Below are 12,165 nucleotides of genomic sequence, written 5' to 3' on the forward strand. Positions count from 1 at the left end.
TTTGAGATAAATCCTTTTATTTGATAGAATCAAATCCTTCTGTTTAATAATCCAAATCCTCATTATCCATGTACATTTATTATTGACATCATGTGTCCTTTCAGAAAAAGAAGTTTTATTAATATCTTCTACTTTAATTTAATGTTATCAAGTTCCATTTTCTGCAGGTTTTTCCTTATTTGGCTCCATTTTGTTTTTGCATAAAGAGATATATTTTAATAATTTTTTGCACATAATATTATTTTTCCTGTATAATGCATTTGGCTTTTTCCATTCACTCCATTTCATCTTATTACATTTGCTTAATTTATATTTGCTAGAATATTTATTTCAAACTTTGCTTTGGTCGTTTTCATTGGGTATTCTACTTGAAAATATCAAACACATTGTGCATGTGTATGTGTATTTATATATTGTATTATGAAAATGAACATCATGAGGGACTATTTTAATCCACCCGTATTTATTGTGTTCACTAAAATATTTGGTTTTTATTATTTTCATCCTAGCTTGTATTTGCTATTTATTGTCTACTCTTTATTGATGCTGTTTGCTTTCTTCTAATCCTTATTTTTGCTGGCCTAGACTATTTTCTCTTTACCACCCACTGTTAATTTTAAAATTCCAGTATCATTTTAAATTGCCTCAAATATTATCTTTTCAACAATAAAAATATTAACTTGCCTCATTTTATCAGTAACTATATTCATATGAAACAATAATTATATATTTCTAATAAATATTTTGCTCACCCATTCTTACTTTTCCCATCTTTATAAAATGAAATCATTCAAAGGCATTTAAATCTCTAACTTCTGATCGTAAAACTTAAAGGTTATTCTAAATAATTTGAAATATTTTATTTATAGGCTATTAAATGTTTTTCCTGATTTTTGTTGTCTATGTCTTATTTACCTTTACTTAAATTTTATAGTAAAAATTATCAGTCATATTATCATTTTCAGTTTATCCTATAAATACATATTTATAAATATGTGTACATAAATGTCTGTGCATGTATTTTAAAATCTTTGCTCATGATTTATTTTTGTTATCTTTTATTTAATATATCTGTTTTAATTTAATTGCCATTTGATAACATCTTATTCATATATCCTTGTGTTTTTCTTTAGATAAAACTGTGTAACATGTCCTATGAATTCTTGAAAGAAACACACACACACACACACACACACACACACACACACACCCCTCCTTGCCCTAACAAACAGACGGTATCTTGGCTAGATAGAAGATTTTTGTCTCACATGTAATTCTATAGTCTACATATGTTCACTTCAGTAATCTGAGATTATCTAATTCTTTTTCTTGTGTAGAAAATCTGTACATTCTGCCTGAAACTTGTAGTAGAAAATTTGTTCTAGTTGATGTTGGTTATTTATTCTAATCTGTCTTTTCCACTTATCATTTTAATATCTCTGATTATTTCTACAGCGGTTTTGCTTAATCTGTCCCGCATATCTCTTTTTGTTTTTGTGAACTTCAGTAATCTTTGGGCATTGAGGTACAACTATTTATTTGATCTTCTGAATTGGGAAACTAGTAAGTTTCTCTGCAGAAATCATTCTGATTTTCAGTTTGTGTTCTAAAATTGTAAAAATTGGACCCTTCTGACCACACAAGCAGAACATTTTGCTGTTGATTTTTTTCAGATGTGGATGGGGGAAGTTGAGGGATTTGGGGATTTTTTTTTTCAACTTGTCTTATAATATTCCTTTCTGCTTTTGCCTTTTTTGGTCAACACATATTTTAAAAAGTCAGATATCTCACCTTTTCAGATCCCATCAATGGCTCCATAGAATGAGTTCATATCCTGTTTGCTTATATCACTTTAGACCTACTTATGCTAAAGGAGTGCCTATCTTCTTTCTAGCTTTAGGATACGTATAAAGACTTTGTTTACTAAATCTCCCTTGTCAATTTTGAGTTTCTCATCCCCCTTTGATTACATACTGGAAACAATCTCATTCCACAAATAAATATGTGGTACTATGTTAAAATGTTTTTGTAATATTATCTTATTTAAAGTATGGTTGCTGTAACTTTACATTTGTATATTATTGACTGATATTTGGACAAATTAGTTCAAATGCACATGTATTTAAACAAACAGAACTCAGAAATCCCCTTTCTTTGCACTGCTCATATGCACAGATAATTGTTCATTGCATCTATCAAAGCTGTAATATTAACTGTAATACACAGCATCAGTCAATTTTGTTCAATTAAAAAGTTGAGTTATCTATCTTGAGTGACTAGGTAGCCAGTTTAATCAATCACAAAAACTGTTTATAAATAAGAGAGAATCCTTCCAGGAAAACAGGAAATATAAAAACTGCAAAGAAGTTATGTAATTATTTTACTGATACAATTTCTTTTCCTCCGATCTTTCTCGGAGCACCACCTCTAACCCTAGCCCAGGTCTCTCAACCTCATGTGCCAGTGCATGCTTCATTTGGTATTGCTCACACAGAACAGGGGCTTTCTCTCTATAAGCCATGGTGGCCAATCTAAGAAAGAACAAACTGCTCATTTATGTACTTTCATTTCATATCCTTTATTTTATTTAGACATTTCAGGCTTTGTTTGCTAATCAAAGTCTAGTTTTGCTTGAAGAATTGAATCACAATAGATGGATACTGTGAACACAGTTCAAATTTGTAGAATACACTTCAGATACTAGATAAAGGCAAAGAGTGATCCCCTATGGCCCCTATAAAGAAAGACATGGAAAGCCAGACCTTGCATCAAGCCTCATTTTCAATATGAAGATGTGACAAAAGAAATGGAGTGATAGTGGGGTTTGAAGTCTGAGCCATCCAGGAATCAGAGAGATCCCTATCACAGTACCAGGACTTCTGTAGGCAAAACAATGCCCTCATAAAGGTGTCCACATACTAATCCCTGGAATCCTTGAATATTGTAGGTTACATGGGGCAGGTGTGGGGAACTAAAGTTGCAGATGGAATTAGAGTGCCCATAAGCTGCCCTTGAGGTGGGAAAATTATCCCAGATTGTCCAGATGGGCTTGTGACTATAGGTCATGAGGCAGAGGCAGACATGAGCATGGCAGGAGAGCTCCCCTTCTCCCCACCAAAGTATGCCAGGTGAGCATCAGGTGATGTTCAGGTGGTTGTTAAACTGCCACTTTAAAATAATAATTGGTTACAGTTAGCACCAGGGAAAGGCAGTCTCCCAGTAGATAGAAATACCTAAACCTGGTGATCAGCAGCTTCCCAGTAAGATTTCAGGAGTTGGGTGAGTGGGCTCAAGCATGTGCCCTAAGAGGCAAAATGGCACAGTTTAACTGGTATATAATCTACTAGGGACACTCAACCAGTATGGAAAAAATGCCTCAAGTGAACATGTACACTTCAGTAAACACATTACTCATGCTTCCCCCGGCCCCCACCAAGTGCAGGCAGGCCACTGCACATGCAGACATCCCACCCCAAGGGAAGAATCAGGGGAGTAGAGATGCAGACTCTGGAATAATGCCGATGCATAAAACCCCAAGTCAAAGGTCAAACCACACACTTGACTCTCTCAAGTTGCCCGCTTGGCCCTCTTCCAAGTGTACCTTACTTCCTTTCATTCCTGCTCTAAACTTTTTAATAAAGTTTCAATCCTGCTGTAAAACTTGCCTCAGTCTCTCCCTCCACCTTATTACCCTTGGTTGAATTCTCCCCTCTGAGGAGGCAAGAATTGAACTTGCTGCAGACCTGTACAGATTTGCAGCTGCTAACATATTTTGGTGCCATGTGACTCAGATACATTCCCTGATGGTTACAAGCTCAGTGTAATTACAAGTGTCTTTATAAGTGGAAGAAGTGAGCAGGGGAGAGAGAGATGAAAATGTGCCATTGGAAGCAGAAATTGGTCATTTAATGTAAGAAAGTCTCAATCTGCCTATGTTGTCTTTAATGATGTAGGAAGCAGATTGTGAACCAAGGATTGTGGGCAACCTGCAGAAGCTGAAGATCAAGGGAACAAATTCTCCTTTAGAGGCTCCAGAAAGGAGCATAGTCCTGTTGACACTTTGGTTTTAGCCTAGTGAGACCAATTTTAACCTCTTACCTCAAAAACAGTATTGTTGTTTAACCACCAAGTTTGTGGTAACTTGTTACAGCAGCCATGTGAGACTAATACAAGGTTGGAATCACTTTCAGGTTAAAAAACAGCAGCCTGTTCTGACATCAGTTCTAAAGTTTTCCATGTTCATTTTCTTCATCTCATATCTCCTCCAGCTCTTTCCTCACAGAACTTCTACCTTTAAGGTGATCCTGTATCCTCTCTTCTCCAACGCCTCCCTCTTTTATCTTCTTTCTTCCCCATTTCTACCCTCCATTGCACTATTCCCCTCTTTCTCTTTTCTCCTTTTCCTATCCCCCATTGTTTACCCACCTTCCATATTTTCCATTTCCCACAAACTTCTACTTTCTTGGAGGGAGGTGGAAGTCAGCAGTGGAAAGTAGGCAGTGTAAGGATATCTGAGTACCTGTTGTACATTTTTATTTTTAGAAAGGGATTTCACCAAGCTGCAGCACTTGCCTTGAGCAATCAATGAATATAAACTTTCCAGCAAAGATCTGCAGAACAATAGGAAAAATACATGGCTCCTGGCAACTCAGCCAGGAAAACACAAGTTCAGTTGCAATTTGCTCCTATCTGTAACTCTTCATCTTACTGGAAAGTGCTGCTCCATTAAGGCATTTCTTAGAGCGGTGTTCTCAAAATGCAGAGGTTTCTATCCAAAGATTCTGTCTGTTCAGGATTCAATTCTGTCTACACAGGATTGAAATTTTGCAAGTTTCCTTTAATTAAAAAATACTAAATATAAAAACCCTACAAGAAACTGAAAAGAGGAGATTAAAAAAAAACAAGATGTACTAAATTGGATGCTGACTATTGGGAAATTGAAGCTAAGTTTAAGTTGTAATTGTAAAATATTATGCAAATTTTAAACAACATTGAGAGTTTGGCCAAGGGGTCAATCTGGGTAAAAGTGGTATGACAAATGCTCAATCCTTCTTTTCCTGCCATTCTGTTATTGCTAATCCATAGCAGTTCAAAAAATGCAGAAGTTTCATGACTCTGAGAGGATGCTAAGCAAAATGTTTCAAATGGCACATTTCCCAACTGTTCATAAAAATTAGTAAAGGATAATAATTGAAATGGCTTATATTTTAATTCATATTTTGTGACCCAACCCCTAGAATGAGAAACAGCCAGAAAGATATGTGTAAAAGTTTTGCTCATAATCACAGAGGCAGAAAGTGAGGCCTTTTCACAGGAAGTCAAGAGGCGACGGCCAGACCCTAGAAAGCTGATGTTGTAACTGGACATCCAAGAAAAGAGCAAAGATTTGTGACAGATGGTCAGGGATGGAGGGACAATAGGAGGTGATTCTGCTGAGAGGGTTTTCTAATTCTATGGGGTTTAAGTCACTTTATGTTAAAGATGGCATTAATGATCCCCACAGGGAGAGATTTTAGGGGATCACAGGGAAAGTGGACAAACAGTACCTGAAGTCTAGCCAGGGAAGAGGAATTGCTGGTCTTTAGCTCTGGTCTTGAAGAAGAAGCCACGATCGTGAAGTATTTACCCTTAGAATAAAAGCTATACTTTTCATCATGACCCTTGTCTCTGTCTATTCCCTCAGCTTCATCCTACACTACCCAGACCCTGTTCACCATGCTTCAGCCATACTAGCCTTCTTTCTGTTCCAAAAGTTCAGTAATTTTAAACCACTCCTTGATTCATTTGTTTGTATCTATGAATATACTCAATAGAATATAAGCTTTTTGAAGGTAGGAACCTGCCTGTCTTGGACATGGTCGTATAGCCCATGTATGTTATAGTGGCCAACATATTACAAGTGCATCAAGAAATATTTGTTGAATGAATGAATGAACAAAGACCCACAATATGACACTTACCATGGCCATGACCTAAAACACAAGGCATATATCCGAAGTCCTGAACATAAAATTTTACTGCAGCACCAGAGAGAAATATATTATGAATTATCTTTAAAACTTAATAATAAAGTCTGTGAATATAGCTTTTCTCCTCAGGATAATGTAAACATCTTTTTATAGTTTCTTTTTTGATTTTCCAAATGAATCTCTTTGCTGTTTCCCACAGATGTTTATGAGTTTATGGGCTCCCTTCTCTGCTTGCTTCTTTGTACTTTGCTGAAATCGTGGAGTGAAAACTTCAGCATTGCATTGGCCTTATACAATATTGTATTCATCTGAGCAGTGGGAAAATCATATCATCAAATATTAAGCAGTCGGGCCTTATACCTGACTCAGGAAGCCGGCTCTTTGGAATGGAACAGGCAGTAGAAAATGCATGCCCCAAAGACACACTGGCAATCAGTTCTGGACCTTCAAGCACAGCTGTGTAGAAGGGATCTAGAGCACTCACTAATGTAACCTGTTAAGTGCTCCTTCAGGGGCCACCGTCATACGTAACTCATGTCAGTGCTGAGGCCGAGGTCCTTCAGTGTTGAAGTAGAGAGTCTTCAGAGCCTGGGGTGTGTCTCCTCCCAAGCAACAGCTACGTCCAGGGACAAATCGACTTCACATTTAGTGTCTCTCATCAAGGGAAAAGGACAGAGAGAGAATAAGGAGGGAGGAGGAGAAGAAAGAAAGGAATAAGAAGGGGGAATGAAGATGTGACAGAAAAGAGGCAGATGAATTTTAAAAAGGACAAAGAGAATAAAATGAGAAAGGGGAAAAATACAAAACAAGAGAATGTCAAATGAAAAATGAGGGCGGAAAAGTGTTAAAGAAAACAATGCAAATGAAGGGAGAAAGCTGCAAATGTCTGTATGCTGACTGGGTGGTGCCTGTGGTTGCTTTCTTGTCACTTCCAAGAAAAGTCTGGAAATTCACTCAGAATTTTGAGTTGCCTTCAGGTTCACACATTTTCGGTAAGGAATTAGATGAAAGTGCAAGATGCTGCCTTAAATTTACTTCTTAGTTTATTTCCAGGAATCTTAAGATCATCCTGGGGCCTGGGAAGAAGCCTGTCAGTGAAACCCTCACCAAGTATTTCACTCGGGAGAAATCCAAGTGCAGGGCTTGTCAAAGGGAGGAAAATCCTTAAAGTAGAGGAGACAGTTAGCTGAGAGTCTCAGGTGGATACTCATTCTATAATTTACCACTGACCCAGTCCCCTACCTGTGGTATCATGAGAAGAGGGAGGCTTTCAAGAGATCAGCACACCTCTGGGTGAATCTTGAAGTATGCCAGGCTCTGCTGCCTAACTCTGGGTGTCGTGTCTGGAAGAGGTGCACTAGGGATGGCAGGCACAGAGGGATGGACACAGGCAATTGGCTTCCTGAAGGGTGCTCCCACCTTTTGGTCATCTTAGGTTTCCAGCCACCTTCTACTCCTGCCACCCCAAGCATATTTCTAGAAGTCAACCACCAACTGCATGGTGACCATGAAAGGATCATTTTGTTCATGTGGAAGTACTCTATAATTTATCACCTAAACTAGAGCACGTTATTTGAGAGTGAGGGAGGGTGCTGTGGATGATAAGTTAGGCTGAGAGTTGTAAACAGGACCATTCTAGGCAGGCTGGAGTGCATTCTCACTGTACTCATGAGACTTCCTACGCCGATCACAATGGATTGGATAAAGGGTTGGTACCCGCCATTGAAAAGCCAGTCTAATAGCAGTCTTTTTCTAGGGATTTTAGAACTGGTAGTAAGTAGGACAGTCCCTGTCTTTCTGATGAATAAAGCTATTCTGGCAGTTATGCCAACCTGTCAGTGGCCATGTTTTCCACATTGTATCCTGGAGAGACTGAGGGGGCAGATATGAAGTCAAGGCAAAAGAACCCGGAGCAACACGTAATCTGCGTATGTGGTGCCCAGGTTCCTGTATTCCACCTCCATGATTTCTTGAATGTTCTCTTTTCTGTAACAACCAGTTGCCCTTTGGAAAAGAGAAGGAGATGGTGAAAGATAGCAGAAAGATTGAGAATATATTCCAAAGAGACTAACTTCACACTCACCAACACTCACACTCACCTGTGCTTACACATAAATGACTTCCAAGTTAGCCTGAGCTCTCTCCTATGTTCATCAATTGAACACTGAACAAAAATGTTCTGAGAGCCTATTATGCTTCCATTCCTGCGATGAAACGGTGAATAGAAACAGAATGAACCATTTATCTGCCCTCTTGCAATTTGCATTCTAGGTTGAAAAAACAGAAAATGAACAAGTAGATAAATTAGATAATTCCAGGTAGCAAACAGTATTAACAAAATAAGTTGGGGTAATGGGATAGAAAGTGACTAAGCAAAAAATGTATTATGCAGTTTATAACATGTGCATAAGTAAAATGCATAACAACAGCAGAAAGGTCTGGAGAGGAGAAATGGAAGTATACTGTTATAAGGTTCTCATATAATATGTGAAGAGTATTTCCTGTGGCTAAGGTGGTCAGAGAAGCCCTCTTTCAGGAGGTGACATTTGAACTAGCACCTTATTAATGAGGAGTATTATTTTAACTGGCTCCATGGTATGTCCAGCCATGGGAAAAGAATTTGAAACTCATTTCAAAAACTCAGCAGGGCAGCATATTCTTCCCTAACTCTAATTCTCTTCCTCTAGGTCTCAATAATATCACTATCCAATTAACCTTCCAAAAGGATTATCAGTATCTTGGTACGTCCTCAATACCCTCAATTTCCCAAGGGCGGGAAGCGTTTTTAGGTTCTTCACCACTGTGTTTCCAGGGGCTTACACAGTGCCTGACATAGGGTAAGCTCCAACATATCTTTTTGTTGACTCAACATATTTGATTATGGAAACTACCTTAATTGGTTTTCTGTTTTCTATATGATACAAGCTAAACCATTTATGAATTAATCCCATCTCCTCTATACATCTTCACCTGCAATCACTTTGTATTGACTGTATCCTGTGCATGCTGTGTTCTTTCACAGTCCAATGTCTTTACACCTGCTATGTTGAATGCCTAGTTCATCTGAAAACAAAAAACAACCCACAAAATCTATCATGCTGAGAATACAGCTGAAGTATCCTCCCTTTATGGAGACCTCCTCTAATTTATAACTGTATTTCCATATCACTAGACATTATAGCACTGGCAGTTATGTATTTCTATTATGCTGCTTCACTCATTGTGAATTGCTTTAGGTAAGAAATTTGATTCCTCACATTACTAGGTGCCCAATAATTATAGCAGTGCTAGGCACAAAAGTAGATGCTCAATAAATGCTAACTGAAGAGAGAACATGAGATTTCTGCTGCCTTACTTGTAAAAATAAATTGATCCAATAGATGTGTGCCTTTGATAAATCATTGTGATGGTTAATACCGAGTGTCAACTTGATTGGATTGAAGGATACAAAGTATTGATCCTGGGTGTGTCTGTGAGGGCACTGCCAAAAGAGATTAACATTTGAGTCAGTAGACACACTGACTATGCAAGCCATTTCTAAGTAAATTAAAAATATTAGAGTTAATTTACATACTTCATTTTATGAAGCAAACATGACTTTGGTTGTCAAATATGATGTCATGGGCAAAAATAAAAACCCATACATAACGATAGTCTAACCTATGACAGTACAAAACTATTTTTTCAAGCTTATCTTAACCAATCTACTACTCTACTTATCAACCTGATCAAAACAACTTGTTCTTTAAATATTAATAGATGGCAGCTTTAACACAAACATAAGAATAAGATTTAAATCCCCCTGTGCCAGTTCACTTATCTCCAAAATGGGAATATATCTCATGCATACCCACCTTTTTATGAGAATTAAGTGAGTTAATCTATGTAGAGTCCTATAAAATAGGGCCTGACACTTATTAAATGCTAAGCTGTATTAGAAGTCATTATTGGTAGTAGCAATCATAGTGATAGTCATAAGCGCTTGTGTGTCTCATACATTGTTCTAATTATTTTACATATTTTAATTTATGTTATCATTTCAACTACTCAATGAGGAAGGTACTAATATATGCTTTTAAATAAAAAAATTTTCTAATTCATTTTTAAGGCTATTTCTAAGCCTTAATTTTCCTAAAGTGTCATAGCTAGAAAGTGCTAAAACTGAATCTGAATTTGTACAAGTCTCTCTCTAGAAGTTCAAGCTTGAACATCTAGTTATAGTGTCTCAGAGCAGAAGGAACAAAGCTTTTAGAACTGAGCCTTCTATTCCTTAAAATCTCACTATATTTATTTGTTTTATTCACCAAATGACTAATATTATACCATACTAATTCCCACAATTAGCAATATGTAACAGTATAAAGCATATACATATTACATTTTTACATGTATTTTTATACTATATAGGTTTATATATTACTAGGTAAAACATAATTATAATAATAAATAACCAAATAAAATAAATTGTAGTTTTAAAAGTATATAAATAGATATTACATTATGTACATTATAGATCATATAAAAATGAAAAGTGAAAACAATGACATAAAGATAAAATAACCCATGTTTATATTTTAAAATAATTTTTAAATTTCTACATATTAAATATACATCACACCATTTCAAAAAGTAAATATTTTATTAATAATAAAATTTCCATAAGAACAATGTGTTTTAATATACATATTATCTTTGAAAAATATTTGTTTCACTCTTAGTGTGATGTAAAAATTCAAAAGTCTGGTGTTCGGTTTATTTTGGTTCTTGGTTTTATGCCTACAACATCTAAAAAAAGATAGCTCCCAAAGATTCATGAATCCAGATGTGGCTGTGCATAATTAATCACAACATCATTTATCATCCACATTATGCAGTGGTATTTGCAGAAATTGGATTTGTATATTTTCCATGAATCCTGAAGTCAATCAGCAGTTCCTACACACTAATGAGAAAATATTTCATTCTGATATTTTAACAAATTGGCTTAACACTCACTGAAATTCTGTATTTGGAAAGTTTCTAAATACATAAAAATTCCAATTGTAAGTCTTTTTTGTGTATGTGTTTGTATGCACACATACAGATTTTATGATTTTATTTTATTTATTTAACCAGTTTATTAGGTATACTTGGTCATTTTATGATTTTAGCAGTCACATTTGGGTTTACAGTATGCTTCATTAACTTAGCACAGCCTACCTTTGAGTGTTACAGCACTTCACATATTATACGTATAAGAACCTTACAACAGTAGACTTCTATTTGTCCTCCTGGTCTTTCTTCTATTGTTATGCATTTTATTTATACATGTTATAAATTGCATAATACTTCTTTGCCTTAAATGATAAATTATCTTATAAAAAGATTTTATAAAACAAGAAAATATCTTTTATATTTACCACATATCTAACAATTTCCAGTGGTTTCTGTTATTTTATGTAGATCTTATTTCTATCTCATATATTTTTTCTTCTGTCATTAGGACTTTAACCCTTTTTATAGCGTAGGTCTGCTGGTGATAAATTATTTCAGCTTCCATAAGCCTGCGAAAAAGTAGTTTGCCTTCGTGATTGCAAATATTTTACTGGGCATAGAATTTTAAGTTGACAGTTTTGTTTTGTTTTGTTTCTTTCAGTACTTTTGAAATATTCCTTCACTGTCTCCTACCTTATGTTGTTTCTAAGGAGAAGTTTAACGTTTTTTTTCTTTCTTTTTTTGGTTCATATTTTTGTTTCTTATCTAAGAAATCTTTGCCTAATCCCAGATAACTAATATTAAAATGTAAAACCTAAACCTGTAAACCTTATAGAAGAAAATATAGGAGAAATTCCTATGACCTGGGTAGTTTTTTGCTTTTTGAGTCACTTTGAGTCAGAATATAAAAAGACAAGCTACAAATTAGGGGAAATACAACTAACACAAATACCTTTAGCCAGAACATATAAAGAACATTTAAATCTAAATATAAACACATATTTTTAAAAGCAACTAAAAATAAACAGAAAAAGATTTGAACAGAAATTTTACCAGTAAAGAATTTTGAATGTCAAACAGGCAAAAGATTAGCAACATCATTCAACATTAGGAAAATGCAAACTATGACTATAATGATAGACTGCTATTATACTACACAGTCACTAGTTACTAGAACAGCTAAAATTGAAAAGACTCATTGCATATTGGCGATGATCTGGAG

General features: G+C 35.7%; 1 long non-coding RNA gene across 1 annotated transcript; it reads right to left on the reverse strand.

Moving 5' to 3' along the window:
* Positions 1-6,773: 6,773 nt before the first annotated feature.
* Positions 6,774-9,404, reverse strand: LOC105378403 (uncharacterized). The gene is made up of 3 exons (XR_946153.2): positions 9,325-9,404; positions 8,069-8,236; positions 6,774-7,973 (listed from the first exon to the last, which is right to left on the reverse strand). It is a non-coding gene; the product is annotated as an uncharacterized LOC105378403 (long non-coding RNA).
* Between the last annotated feature and the right edge of the window lie 2,761 nt (positions 9,405-12,165).

This window comes from Homo sapiens, chromosome 10, assembly GCF_000001405.40.
Source record: "Homo sapiens chromosome 10, GRCh38.p14 Primary Assembly".
Lineage (NCBI taxonomy): Eukaryota > Metazoa > Chordata > Mammalia > Primates > Hominidae > Homo > Homo sapiens.